Source organism: Homo sapiens, chromosome 4, assembly GCF_000001405.40.
Source record: "Homo sapiens chromosome 4, GRCh38.p14 Primary Assembly".
In the NCBI taxonomy this organism is placed as follows: Eukaryota; Metazoa; Chordata; class Mammalia; order Primates; family Hominidae; genus Homo; species Homo sapiens.
In genome coordinates this window covers 53,416,172-53,432,025 of record NC_000004.12, presented here as the reverse complement: position 1 = coordinate 53,432,025, position 15,854 = coordinate 53,416,172, and the positions used below count along the sequence as shown (strand labels likewise).

Below are 15,854 nucleotides of genomic sequence, written 5' to 3'. Positions count from 1 at the left end.
TGTATTCTAATACATAAATCTCCTCTACTCTTCATACAAATCTATTATGGCCAGAAATACTTTGTCCTCTCTGTGTTACTAGCAAAGTTTCATATACGTTTGCAGGTGTGTGTTTAAGGGTGAGAGGAGGCAATACATTTCTCCTCTTCTGTGAACTATTTGACATTAAAAGTCCTTCAAATGAGAGTTATCTCTAACACCTTATAATTGTTAAACAGTAACTTATCTACTTATGCAATAAGACCTCTGTAAATTTCCAAGAGTCAATCAGAAATTGTATCATCTAAACCAGGGAATTTCTTTCTAAGAATGAATAATAATTATGCTGGGATAGAAGGTATAAAGTAGGACTCTTCCAGGCAAATCTGGATGTATGGTCACCCTATTTATTTGAAAACAAAACAAAACAAAACAAAAATCTAGTAGCATCCTAAAATATGAGAATAAAATATCATTACTATACTTATCTCATCATATTTTGGACTTTACTTTTAAAAACATTAGAAGTCTAATGTTAAAAAGGCAACATTAAAATACATTTAAATTAATTCTTTAAAAAAATGTTTTTCCATTTTCTTTTGATTATTTTTGAAGAAAGCAAAAAACAAGACAGTTTATCTAAGAAAAATGGAATATCTTTTAAGGCAATACTTTAAAAAGAATCCTGAATCATAGCTTTCTTTCATTAGCTGCTTATGATTCTTAAGGTGATTTAAATTACAACAAACTACGGAACATAGTGTAATCATGTGGTTCTGTGGTAAAGGGTAACTGAAAACCACAGCTTTAAGCATGGCAGCTGGCATATATCTATGCAGCCGTACTGTTATTCAGAGCCAGTGCCCATCCTGATTGAATGTACCAGGTATAAATCCGAAAATCATCTTTGGTGTTATGGATACATAAATATGTCGTTAACTCAATTAGCAAACACATTAGGGAATGCCAAGTACGTACAAGACCACTTGACTAAAACTGTAGGGAAACATAGATAGAAATACATAGCCTGTACGCTCCCCAACAGCTCACATTCTACTAAAAGTAAGGAGCAATTCAGAGAGTCTCAACTTCAAATATTTGGTTTTAATGAACTGGTATCCTGCTCAGCACATATACCAGTTAGGTACTGCTTAAACCAGCATTAGAATTCATTTGAATCTGCACTCATTAAATGTTGACAGAAGAGCATAGAAATGTAAACCAAGAATAAACATAAAAGGAAATCTCGATTTTAAAATATGGAAAGCATGTAGCTGAGAATTAAGTAGAAAAATAGATTAAGCAACAGAAAAATAATTAGCTGCACTCTATAGTATAATGTCATTAATAACCTAAACACTCTTCAAAGATTTGTTATACTTATGAACAAAGGTTACATGAAAAAGAAATGGTCAGGGGTAGTGGTTCATGCCTGTAATGCCAGTACTTTGGGAGGCCGAGGAGGGCAGATTGCTTGAGGTCAGGAGTTCAAGACCAGCCTGGACATGGCGAAACACCATCTCTACAAAAAATACAAAAATGCCGGGTATGGTGGCACACGCCTGTAGTACCAGCTACTCTGAGGCAGGAGGATCGCTTGAGCCTGGGAGGTGGAGGATGCAGTGAGCTGAGACCGCACCACTGCACTCCAGCCTGGGCGAAAGAGTGAGACCCTGTCTCCAAAAAAAAAAAAAAAAAAAAAAAAGTAATTTTATCATTTTGAAAAAAAGTAAACTTCCAGATAATGCTACTGCCTATGTGTAGCAATTACCTCTGTAGCAATATTCTACGGAGTTTCGAATATTCTTATACCAGCTAAGTATTTGTTGTCATTAATTCATACCAACTCTGTCCTACTTACTTTAATAATTAGTACTGAACATACAAAATGTTAGCCATCTGGGGATATACTATATTTGTAAATAAGGAAATCCTTTCATTCTGTCATTTGTGACAACATGCATGAACCTGGAGGACACTGTGCTAAGTGAAATAAGCCAGGCACAGAAAGACAATTACTGCACAATCTCGCTTATATGATCCAACTCATAGAAGCAGAGAGTAAAATGGTGGTTACCAGAGGCTGGGGGCCACGGGTGAGGTAGGGGAGATGATTTTCAAAGGATACAAAAGTTTCAGTAAAATGAGAAAAACAAGTTTTGGAGCTCTACTGTACAGCATGGTGACTATAATTAATAACCGTATATTTCAAAACTGCTAGGAGATTTCAGAATGTTCTCTCCACAAAAAAATGTTAAGTATGTGAGGTGATGAATATATTAACTTGATTTACTACAATGTAGACATAATCAAAACATCACATTGTACCCCATAAACATATACAAGTATTACTGTCAAAAATAAAATTTTTAAAAAGTTTTAAGAATTAAAAAAAGAAAATTATTTCAAATCACTACCTAGTAAAGTTTAAGTAATATTACAAAGGAATCCAACAGAGTACCACAAACATTAATAATTTTTTTAGTATCATTAATCAAATATGTTGAAACATTAATTATTTCTACCTTTTATTTATCTAATTCTTTTTCAGAGGACAAAGGATTCACATAGAAATCACAGAAGTCCTCATTTTGAATCACCTAAGTCCTCTTTCATTTGGTTAATACTCAGCATATTAAAGACACAAGAACCACAAGTCAATCCCAACTAATGAGTCGTTTCTGCTCAATCTATTTGTTGGAACTAGAAATTCACTGAAATTAGAAATACTAATGTTGTCTGGAATAAGGACCTCTAACCTATATTCCAACCTCTTCCTTCCACTATTGTTGAGACAACAGACCCTCTAAAGCCACAAGTCATTTTTTCATATTTTTCTCATACTTTTTGAGAGTAGAGGTGACAGTGGAAGGAAATCAAAGGCACTGAAGATGAAAGACAGAAGCAGTGGCTGACATTTAGAGGCCAAGGATGAATATGTTAGGGAAGGACTATTCAGACCCTGGATTTGGTTCTGTACTCGGATCACAACTGGCACCTTAAAACAAAGACAGCTCTCTTGCAAATAAAAGTGAGTGAGAGTACATGGCTCTCTAGTATAAACTGATTTGATTAATAGGAAGTAAAGCCTAACATACGTCTTTCATGTTGCCCTGATGAGGACAAGCAGCTATTTTTTCATCATTTACTACTAGCTTTCTCCCTGGGAAGAAGTAATTATTATCTCAATCAATCTTGCTAGTTTCATAAAAACTTGGTTAAGGCAGATAAAGGTTAAAAACAAAGTAAGAAAGGCAACCCGATGAAAAATTCAAATAAAAATAAAATTTGGGAATTATTTGTGAGTTTCTTCTCTATCACCACTAACCTGGTTTTTAATTGTAATCAAAAGTAGCTAAAAATATGATCAACATTTACTTTTGTTTAAAAGAAATAAATACCAGGCACCCAGTAGCAGTCTCCTAAAAGGAAACCGGTATACAGAAGAAGACCAGACTGAAATATTAATCAATCTCTTCGCAAGATATAATTTTTTGATCTACTCCCATCCTGAAAGTATCTTTTAATGTTTTTTTCAAAACAAATTAACACTGGTAAAGTTTGTAACTGAGTATGGATTTATACATATTCTATTAGCAACTTAAGTTTGGGGATCATTATCATATTTTTGAATCACAAGATTGGTATCTGTATATTCTTCTTAATTTTAGAACATTGTCTCTTTCCTATATTGAAATAGCAATAAACATATATATATCTGTTTCAGTGTGAATCTGTTGAAGATATTATATCTATTACTTTTAATGAAATGTGATCAAGATATTATTTTAATTGTCAAAAATTTTAAAAAACACTCGCAAGCTATTTTTCTTTCAAAGTCAAATGTCTTATTTACTATTTACCCGGTGGTGGAATCAGAGGTGGAGCAGTGCTGACAGTCGGAGGAGGTGGAAGAAATGGAGGAGGTGGAAGGTGAGTGGGAGGAGCTCCTGGAGGGAAAAACGGAGGTGGTTTGCTAAAATTGTTGTCTACTTCAGTAGCAGATCTTTCAGAAAGGACCTAAAATTAGAGCACAGTTAATTAAACAGATGCATAAATATTATGTAAGATTAATCTTAGTAAATTAATTTCATTTAATCTAAGAAACAAAGTAAAAGGTAGTTTAATTCACATATATGTATTTTTGGGGGGAGAGTAATAGTTCTACATGTGTGATATGTGTATACATACGCCTGTGTGAGTATACACATACATACAGTTTTAAAAATGTGCATATTCAAATCTTAAGAAAAAACAACTGGATCATTACCAAAAATTTCTTAATAAAAAGTAATTAATACAAACACTCCACACAAGAAAAAAGTACTTCATAAAGATCATTTAACAAGTATTATCTTTGTCACCCAACCAAAGTTGAAGTATTCAATTAAGGCAATGTAATCATTAATCACAGACACTGGCCTTAAGAAATTAACATGGCAGCAGGTCAGACATTCACTGTACAAGGGCCTGTCATCACCAGGTTGCAAAGTAAGAAACTGTCAGGCATGTGTCAACAGACTGCAAGCAATAGGCAGCAAGATATGTAAGTAACTTTATCATGTGAGCCTTGTAACTTTAAGACCAGGGTTTATTCTTGAAAAATAAAGCAATGTTTGCAAAATGCTTCTTTGTGTGAACAGGTTAAGGGACAGGCACCATAAGAAGCACCCCAAACCTACTGAAATAAAACAAGCAAAGTGGCACCTCAAAATCTGGATTTTTGATAAGCTCCCCAAGGATGTGTAAATAAATTTGGGAAAGACAGCCAACATAATGTTGTATATTTAATTTATACTTCTCAGATCCTTGCTGACTAAAGCAATCTTTTAAACATACAATCCCTCTTTCCATTAACACTTCCTACATTTAAGTGCAGTGTTTTTTGTAGGGCTTATGCTGATAAGCTATTTCTTAAAGTATTTATTTTGAGAAATCGTGGCATTTTAATGGTAAGGGGAAAGGAAAAATGGACTAACATCTTCCACTATAGAAATGATTTGCCTTTAAAGATGCTAAAAGGAATATTTTACATGATCAACTTATCAAAGGTAAGAATAAAGTGCTCTGGACATTTTTAAAAGGACTCAGAAAATAGGAATAAATAATGAAAAAAAGTATGGCCAAAATGAATAGCTGGAAGTCTCAGTTATTAAAGTTCTAACATTAATTATCCAACTTACTGATAATTTATCTCCCCTCAATTTTTCACCTAAAAACAAAGCAGCTCTACGCCACCTCCAGAAATGTCACATTAAATAAATCATGGTATATTTATCCAATGAAGCTATCATGAAGATATTTTAATCATATTTTAAGAATATGAAAACATACAAATGATAATTTTAGATGGGGAAAAAAGTATACACAGAAATATAATTATAATAGTATCCCAATTTTGCTTAGTATCAAGAGATGTACCAGATGTGGTTATCTTTAGGTGGTAAAATCACTGGTGGTCTTTTATTTTTCATTCAGTAAACCTATATACAAGTTGAGTATTCCTAATCCAAAAATCTGAAATCTGAAATGCTCTAAAATCCGAAACATTTTGAGCATCAACATTTTATCACAAGTGGAAAATTCCACACCCAACCTCACATGTGACGGATCACAATCAAAACTCAGGCCCACTACACAGTTTACTCAGGGTTGCCAAAGGAAAAAAGATTATCATAAATTAACAAATCATTATAACAAATTAAATAACTTATTTATGAAACATAAATTTCATGTTTAGACTTGGGTCTCATCTCTAAGATTACATACGTATGAACATTTCAAAATCCAAACATTTCAAAATCTGATACACTTCTGGTCCCAAGCATTTCAGATAAGAGATACTCAACCTGTACTATGTTTCTACCAAGGAAAAGAAAGAAAACCCTATTAAAAAAAGATTCAGAGATTATAAATTCTAACTGGAAATGCCTTTATAATAAATGACTGGCTTCACATTTTAAATCTCTTTGTATCACCTAAAACACAGCATAGCACTATGACTATCTATTGAATAAATTAAATTATAATGTTGATATCATCCTTCAGTTAAAGAAAATTATTTATTTTAAAATACTAAACCTGTATGTTGCTGTTCTCATTTGCCCGTCGCCTGCCTTCTACTCGGCTGATAGTTATAGTCTGACCGATAACATCAATTGCCCCAGGTAATCTCCTGTAACATAAAAATTGAATCAATTCAGTTTCACCTAATTAGATGCTTAAAAAATAATAAAAGCAGTGAGAAATAAAAACAAAATGTGTTTGCAATAAATTTTAAAATAAAACCAGATCACAATACACATTGAAAAATATCCCTGAGTTTAAGCTCACTACTTTGCATTGTCATAAAAATTTTTATTAATAAACAAGCTAGAACCAACATACCCAACAATGATCATAATGTTAAGTTTTAAGTCTCTGTAGAGCTCTTCTACACTTACTAGTTTTAGTAGTCTCCAAATAAATTTATCTTTGTGAAATTAAATAAGACAGCAAATGCTAGACAAATGGAAATTTTGGGACCACTACAATTGTAACACATACTACAGCTCTATTACAGAAACTTTAAATATTCCCCAAAAAGGCCTGAAAATAATGCTCATTTTAACATACACAAGATATTTTCCTTGTGATATATTCCAAGTGTTAAAAAACATAAAAAAGGAACCAGTTTGCCATTTCTGATAACTTGCATTTAGATAGAAAAATTCAAATATTTAAATACCCGCCTCACCTCTACAATCTTTTTAAAGTTTATAAGGATATGGAAAAATAGTCTATCATAAAACAATGCTATAAATTTAAGAGAAAAACCTAGTAAGTTGTATTTTAAATAAAATAATGTTAAAAGCTATTATGCAGATAAAGGACTTTACAAAAGTATGCATGCCTAAGATGATATAGAAGTCACTTGGAGAAATAGGCAATGAAAAGTGGATGCAAATTAGATGAATTTCTCTTCATCTATATTTCAGTTCTGAACAATACTGCCTTTAAAACTTTATAGAAGCAAAACAATTAAAATACCATAGATCCTTCCACAGTCACTAGATTAGGCTCCTAAAATGACAAATAACAGCAGCTACCATAGGTTGGATGCCAAACCCATTATATCTAAACTTCACAAAAACTGAAAAATTACTGTATACTTGTTAGAGACAAGCCATGGTCCAAAGTGAAATCACTGACACAAGCATGAATTAAATAGCAAAACTAACTTTCAAACCTGAGTCTTTCTAATCCCAAAGACTATAGACCTCCCCTCCCCTTGAGCTAGGTTTCCTTCCAGCAAGACCTTTGAGGAATTTAAGGCTTTTCTGGAAATCATGAGTTAGTAAGAGTTTATCTCAAGTAGACCTTGAAACACTCCACAAATTATTTTGTGCTAACAAAGACAGCCCTATAAAAAGCACATCATGACATCTGAAATGTTTTCAAGTACATAGTCAGTTCCCACTTACCATCCCTTGCCCACTTAAGACTTCCCTTCTCTATAACTTTAGTACAATTTAAAAATGTTCAAGCCTTTCTAATTTTATGCCTGAGTCACTGACTTCCTAGATTTCCTCATGATCCCAAAGATCATGAATGATTTCATTGGAGGATTAACATATCCTCCAATACAGCTGGGGAAAGATCTTAATATTCACATGTTACAAAAATCCAAATATCTCTACAATAAAACAAATATTGCTTCCATTTCTTCCCTATAATTTAAATTGCAAAGCTATGCCTACCATGACTGCATTATCAAAGCACATGCCATCAGCCCTCTGATATACAAACATTTCATATTCCAACATCCTACTAAATACAGGTGTGCATTCTGAGGCTGTAATTTCCTCTCTGTTAATTGCTGCCCTCCATTGTCAAAATTTTTATTTTCGCTCTATTTCCTTTTCTACTATTTTCTCTTGCCAATCACTGGACTCTCTCCTTTGCATTTTTAAATTTATTCCCATCAAGAACAAATTCTACCAAATTTGTTTGGACTTGCAAGTCAGATAGCAAATTCTCCAAATTGTTAAAAGTGGTAAAAATTAGATCTAGATATAACTTTCCTGTTGAGGGGAAAATTTTCTATAGCCTGTCTTTTACCATTTATTTCTGAGGATCTCTAGTTTTCAAAAAGTCTGGGACACATGGAAGTATTCACCTCTTAAAATGTACCTTAAATATGGTCAGAAGTCTAATTAGTTTTTTTCAACTTTAAATTGATTGTTTTTAATCACTAAAGATTCAAAATGGCAAATACTATGTTTCTAAAAACATATAACTGAGAAATCAGCCTTAACAAGTATATATCCCTAAAGGGAGTTCAGAAAATTACAATTCTCCACATTTTCAAAACATCTCCTTGTGCCCGTATTTTTTAACCACATAAACTGATTTACTTTAATCATATAAATTAAGCTTACCGTTTTGTTCCAAAATGTTTTATGATAAGACACACAGTATGTACCACAGCAACAAAAAGCACATAATATCTAACACTGACAAATAATTTAAAAATCTAATATTATTCTGATGCCACATTATGGAAAAAAATATTGAACCATATTATTCCACGAAAGTTCTTAATGGACAGCTTTTTCTTTCATTGCTTAAGAAGATTTAATAGAGTTTCCCTATGAGGAAATCTACTGTAACTTAAGAGTTCCCCAAAGCGTAGGTTTGATTAGGCCAACAAACTTGTTCAGTAAGGTAGACAGCTAATGCTATTATCAAAATCCTCTTCTCCATATTGGACTCAACCATCTAGTAAAAAGCTAAGAAACTAACCACTCTGGGTGTCTGAGTTAATGTACAGTTTAAACAGGCAGTAAATGTTCCCAAGAGCCTCTACCTCCCCTCCTGGCACAGTAAATGAATATAAAAATATCTCTGAAGTTACAATGGAATTAAATTATCATATTTTGATGATTCTGATATCCCAGAAAGAATCTGAGGGCTCCCTGCAGAGATGCAACAGAAAGTTTAAGATGACAAATCAGGGCTAATAGAAGATAGACAAAAGGCCATAAATTGATCTCTGAAGGTCAGGCTCACGCATGTAATGCCAACACTTTGGGAGCCTGAGGCGGGAGGATTACTTAAGCCCAGGAATTCAAGACCAGCCTGGGCAACATGGCGAGACTTTGTGTCTACAAATAATTTAAAATATCAGCTAGGCATAGTAGCACATGCTTGTGGTCCCAGCTATTCAGAGGGCTTAGGTGAGAGGATTGCTTGAGTCCAGGAGATGAAGGATGCAGTAAACTGTGATTGTGCCACTGCACTCCAGACTGGGCAACAAAACAAGAGCCTGTCTCAAAAAAAAAATATATATATATACATATATATATATCTCAGCTGCTTTTTCTTGGAAGCCAAAGCAAAGGACATCATTAACAACAAATGTCTTTAATGTGCATTAAGATTAAAACAAAGCATTTGCTCTAAGATTGTTTTCCTGGTAATGACAGCTAGTATTTATGGAGCACCTACTATGCGCAAGGTAAGCACTGTTCTAAATACTTTATATATATTTAGTCTTCATGATAAACCCATAAGGTAGCAACTCTCATTATTGTCATTTTACAAATGAGAATAAACAGAAAAAGATTCTCCTCTGAGTCTAAGAGAAAATATGAGTACAATAGTTTTTAAACTTTATTGACTACAAAACACAGTAAGAAGTACACTTTACACAGCAATCCAGTACCCACAATACATTAAAAACTAAAAAAGATTCATGAAACAATACTTAAAAAAGGAAAAATGGTGACACTAAGATAAAATGTAATTTTATTAATATTTAAATATAGCATAGGAAAAAAGCAAAAGAAACAATACAAAACCAAGAAATACTGGTTGGGACCACCAAATTGTTTCACAACCCACTAATGGATTGCAATCTCATGTTTTCAAAAATATGGAAATAAAGTCTCCAAAATTCCTACCAAAAAAAATTGAATTTTAAAGAGCTATTTCTCAAAATGCCCTTTAATGCTGAGTGAAGCACAACAATGCCCAATTCAATAAGAGCAATTTAATCAGGGGAAGCAAAACAACGTGGTCTGTGTATCTAGCCCTCTTAATGGTTAGGCTTGATCTAATAATGTAACTGTGCTTTTGAGAACAGTTCAGGTTCTTAACTAGCAACATGGTTCTCTAAAGAAGAATCAGGACGTCCCTGATTTCTAAATAAATAGATATGTATAGATGCAATTTCCAGGCAAAAGTCCAGAGTTTATAGCAAATTTTCAAATTATTTTGCTTGAAATATTGCTTGAATTATTGCTTGAAAGTTTATAACCATATTCTAAAAGAATGGGTGAATCACATATCAATGTAGACATCTATGAATGTTTTCTCACAGAAGGGCTTCTAATAAGAACTGGGCAGCAAACAGTTCAAAGGTCCATTTGCTAAGAAAAAGCCTAGAATGTGGCTATCTCATATTCCCAACTTGAAAAGAGATGCACTTGTTATGACATTTAATTCAGGTCACATATGTAAATAGATGGCTGTAAACAGTTCTGCATGGAAATTGTGTAGCATCTTTTAAGCTACGTTAGGAAAGAGATGAGCCTTAAAAGACATGTAGGATGGGAAGATAGAACATTTCAGATGGAGGGACAACTATGAGCATAGAGAAAAGATGGAGAGGGGTAGATATGTGCACAATTTCTACGTGGCAAATATATTACCTATCCATTTGCTTGCAACAGAAGTATCATGCACCTTTGATAGTGGTTACCAACCAAAAGACATTCAAAGAGGCAGAAAATGTAAATTAAATGAGAAGCACATAAAGAAAAAGACTGTGAGGCTGTAAAATGCTATACAAATATCAGCTCCCATTGTAACTACATCTATCATTTTACTTCAAAACCGTAGGTGCCTAGCTATCATTTGATTTTAATCTTTATGCCAACCCAGAATCAAGGCTCTAAATCAGTGGTTCTCAACCTTGCCTGCATATCAAAATCCTGATGCACAGGGTGTACACCAGACTATTTAAAATTACATTTCTGGGACCCAGCATCAATACTTTTTTGAAGCTTCCTAGGTAATTCCAATATGGTCAAAGTTGAAGACTACAAATCTAAGGGCATGTTCAAGAGACTGCTAGACATTTTGTTCCCTCCAGAAAGAACTTAAAGTAGCTCATAAAAAATTAATATTTATTTCAAGAAAAATTTAAAGTCATATCCATCAACATAAGAATATCATTGATTACATATTTTTCTACAGATCTTTTAGTTTTGTGGTACTTGAGCCCAGGAATTCGAGATCAGCCCGGGCAACATGACTGGTCTGAAATGGTACTGTTTCTATACCTGTGTGTACGTTTTACTTCCACAAGCACAAGAATAATTTTCTCTACAGTATATACACAATTTATAAAGAAAATATATTCTAATGTTCGAGTAACAATTTATTAATGAAAAATCCCGCCCAGAAAAAGAACCTAGTCTAAAATAAAAATCACAGAATTCAAAACACTTTTCTGGACATACAATTTATTTTCTATCAGTACTACATTTAAAGAGACTGATAAAGCCCATGATGAAAGAGGAGATCCGACACTCACTGAGTGTCTGATTTATCTTTTTTTTTTTTTTTTTTTGAGATGGAGTTTCACTCTTGTTGCCCAGGTTGGAGTGCAATGGCACGATCTCAGCTCACCACAACCTCTGCCTCCTGGATTCAAGCAATTCTCCTGCCTCAGCCTCCCGAGCTGGGATTACGGACGCATGCTACCACGCCCAGCTATTTTTTTTTTAATTTTTTTTTTAGTAGAGACAGGGTTTCTCCATGTTGGTCAGGCTGGTTTTTTTTTTTTTTTTTTTTTTTTTTTTGAGACGGAGTCTTCCTCTGTCGTCCAGGCTGGAGTGCAGTGGCGCGATCTCAGCTCACTGCAAGCTCCGCCTCCCGGGTTCACGCCATTCTCCTGCCTCAGCCTCCTGAGTAGCTGGGACTACAGGCGCTCGCCACCGCGCCCGGCTAATTTTTATTGTATTTTTAGTAGAGACGGGGTTGCACCGTGGTCTCGATCTCCTGACCTCGTGATCCACCCGCCTCGGCCTCCCAAAGTGCTGGGATTACAGGCGTGAGCCACCGCGCCTGGCCTGGTCAGGCTGGTCTTGAACTCCCGACCTCAGGTGATCCGCCCACCTCAGCCTCCCAAAGTTCTGGGATTATAGGCGTGAGCCATTGCGCCTGGCTGATTTATCTTTCAAGCCCTGAAATAGGTGCTTTCACAGCTTAGAATTTATTTAATCCTTACAAGTACATCACATTTAAGGTATATGGGGCCGGCATAGTGGCTCACACCTGTAATCTCAGGTGTGATTTGGGAGTAGGCCGAGGCAGGAGAATCACTTGAGTTCAGGAGATCAAGATCAGCCTGAGCAACATAGTGAGACCTCATCTCTACAAAAAATAAAAAATTAGCCGAGCATGGTGGGCATGCCTGTAGTCCCAGCTACTCGGGAGGCTGAGATGGGAGGACTGCTTGAGCCTGGTAGTTCGAGTTTGCAGGGAGCTATGATCCCACCACTACACTCAACCTGGGAAACAGAGTGAGACTCTGTCTTGAAAAAATAAAAAGTAAAGTACATATCCAATTAGTTTCATTTTCACAGATGTGGAAAGAGGCTCTTTTGCATTGTAAAGTGGCAGCACTAGGATTCAGGCTTAGCATAACCAACTTCAAACCCCTTCCCTTCTTCTTCAACAGTGTTTATCATACTAATTTTCTGGGGTCTGAATTTTTTAAATGTCAATTTTTAAGCTCTATTTAAAACAAAACAAAAAAACCTTGAATGTTTAAAGGTGAAATAAGCCCAAATTTCACTCACTGGAGGACATAAGTGTGTTCAAAAGTGCAAACAAGTTTACTCACTTTTGTACAGAGCTTGGAATAAAGCTCTACCTTCCATATTTATGCTTAATTTCATGCTTTTAAATGTATCAATGATAGGAAAAGACACAGCTCTACAAGAATCTTAAAAAAACAAACAAAAAACCCCAAAGGCCTTCATATGTCCAATAACATAAAATCTTACAAACTACACACTATAGCAACATGCATTCAGAGCACTTGATCAAATGCCCCAAGGTATGGGCACATCTTTTCAGTACAGTGTCTCATCAAGACATAAAAGGAGATAGTCAGAGGAAGAGGTCATTCTTAGATATAATATTCATTTAACGTCCAGTTTTATTATAAGTATTGTGTTTAATAGAAGAAATACATGCATGTTTAAATGTATTCGTGATTTAACATTGAAAAGCAATTTTTACTATTCATTCAAGAGTATGAATCAGTTAAAAAGCATTGTAATATAGGAACATAAGCTTAAGAAAAATAAACTATCACTTGAAAATTAAGAGGAACAGAACTTGGTAACATAAAATGGAAACAAAATAAAAAAATAAACTGTGCATTAGGATATGTTTACAGCAATCATCCATATTACCAGTTTCAATTTCCTGCACTCACTGAAACTGCTTCACTCTTCTAATTAGTTTCACAAGAGTTAAAAATTTGATTTTATAAAGCAAACTTACACCAATAAAATGCCACTGTTATACATATAGATTTAGCTTGAAGAATACTGTTAAAGTTTGAAAAACACTTACAGATTTGGCTTGAAGAATACTGTTAAAATCGGGAAAACACTGTATTATACAAATTAATAGTAACTAGCATATGATAAGGCCACAACTTCAAATATAATAACTGTTATTTATGTATTTATTTATTTATTTAGAGACCAGGTTGGGCTCCATTACCCAGGCTGGAATGCAGTGGCACGATCACAGCTCACTGCAGCCTCACCTGTCCAGTGATCCACCCACCTCAGCCTCCCAGGTAGCTGGGGCCACAGGTGCACACAACCATGCCCAATTAATTTTTGTATTTTTGGTAGAGTTGGGGTTTTGCTATGTTGCCTATGCTGGTCTCAAACTCCTGAGCTCAAGTGATCCACCCACCTCAGCTTCCCAAAGTGCCAGGATTACAGGCAATGTGCCACAGCGCCCAGCCCAAATATAATAACTTACGAAAAACATCTTAATCATTATTTACTTGCTCTTTACAAACATTTAAGCAATGCCTCAAACTCCACATTTGTCAGTTACATTAACTACAAGAGCAGGAATCTAGTTTTTCTTACACTAACAGAGAGTGAGAGTGAGACAGTGTGTGTTTTAAAAGAGAAAAAGTAGCCTGAGAGAGAGAGAGAGAGAGAGAGAGAGAGAGAGAGAGAGAGAGAGAGAGAGAGAGAGTGTGTGTGTGTGTGTGTGTGTGTGTTTAAAAAGAGAAAAAGTAGCAAAGAGAAAAAGTAGCTTTTATCCAGGGTATCTGTTGTGGAATTTTCTTTTCTTTTTTTTTTTTTTTTTTTTTTTTGAGAAGGAGTTTTGCTGTTGTTGCCTAGGCTGGAGTGCAATGGCACAATCTCAGCTCACTGCAACCTCCGCCTCCCGGGTTCAAGCCATTCTCCTGCCTCAGCCTCCCGAGTAGCTGGGATTACAGGCATGCACCACCAGGCCCAGCTAATTTTTGTATTTTTAGTAGAGACGGGGTTTCTCCATGTTGGTCAGGCTGGTCTCCAACTCCTGACCTCAGGTGATCTGCCTGCCTCGGCCTCCCAAAGTGCTGGGATTACAGGCATGAGCCACCACAGCCAGGCTATTTTTGGAATTTTCTAAAGCACAAAACACGTAATGAAAATACAGCTTCAAATTTCCTTCCACATATATTCTTGAGACTAATTACAAAGTTAAAGTGAAGGGTGTTTTTTTGTTTCCAGAGCATCTTTTTTAGAGAGAAGTAGGTATAGATGGAGTTGCTATACATAAAGCACTGAGATGTGTCTCTTTCAGGTATGGGAAACAACATTTTCGCTATAAATTAGCCATCTGGTGTCCAAAAGTAAAGTACTATATCTAAAGTAAAACAATTTTAAATAAAAACTTCTAAGTCAAATAGCTGATATAAAAGGAATTCCAGATGTTAAAACAAAGCCAAAGAAACAAAGTTTAAAATTACATTGAAAATAACATATTTTAAGTATTTCCTTTTTTTTTGAGACAGGGTCTCACTCTGTCACCCAGGATGGCGTGCAGTGGCATGATCTTGGGTCATGCAACCTCCACCTCCCGGGTTCAAGTGATTCTCCCACCTCAACCTCCTGAGTATCTGGGATTACAGGTGACTGTGACAATGCCTGGCTAATTTTTGTATTTTTAGTAGAGACAGGGTTTCACCATGTTGGACAGGCTGGTCTTGAACTCCTGACCTCAAGTATCCACCTGCCTCGGTCTCCCAAAGTGCTGGGATTACATGTGTGAGCCACCACACCTGGCCTATTTTAAGTATTTCTATGCCTTTGTCTATGAAAGTTGACTTGCCTGAACTATTGGTACTACAAGCCAGAAAAGCAGGTATTCTAGTCCTGATTTTGCCTCTTAACTAGCTGTGAATTTGGGCAAATTCTCTGATTTCTCAAATCTCTAAGGACTAGTTTCCATTGTAAACCAGGGACTAGTCAGAAAATAAAGAGTTTCAGGTTTGAAGAGGCTTTCCGAATTACACAGTCTAGCTCCACTATGTTACGATTGTGGTAATGGAGGCATAGGCATGTTAGGAAACTTTCCTTAATTCACACAGGTAGTTACTGACAAAACTAAACCTAAAATCCAAGTCCAATACTTATGCAACAAAACAATTGTAAGTTTAAGTTTCTTTACCAATAGCATGATAAATTTATAAGTTCTTGTTGTCTGGCCCTTTTAGGTTCAGTAAATAGGCTGTCCATACTGCCAGGTTAAATATAAACCCAAGTGTTTCTCTATGCAATAATTGAGTTAGTTGTTAC

At 35.2% G+C, this 15,854-nt stretch overlaps 1 protein-coding gene across 60 annotated transcripts in view; it reads right to left on the bottom strand.

Moving 5' to 3' along the window:
- FIP1L1 (factor interacting with PAPOLA and CPSF1) overlaps positions 1-15,854 on the bottom strand; it is an 83,222-nt gene that overhangs the window by 28,837 nt on the left and 38,531 nt on the right. For 58 of the 60 annotated variants that reach the window (NR_164848.1, NR_164849.1, NM_001376744.1 and 55 more), the window contains 2 exons: positions 6,061-6,154; positions 3,843-3,999 (listed from right to left, as the gene is read on the bottom strand). Coding sequence is in view for 57 of the 60 variants with exons in the window: in NM_001376744.1 (NP_001363673.1) it covers positions 3,843-3,999; positions 6,061-6,154 (251 nt within the window). In the remaining 3 variants the exon portion in view is untranslated. The remainder of the gene's footprint in view (positions 1-3,842; positions 4,000-6,060; positions 6,155-15,854) is intronic. The other 2 variants (NM_001376756.1, NR_164847.1) reach the window with 2 other exon arrangements.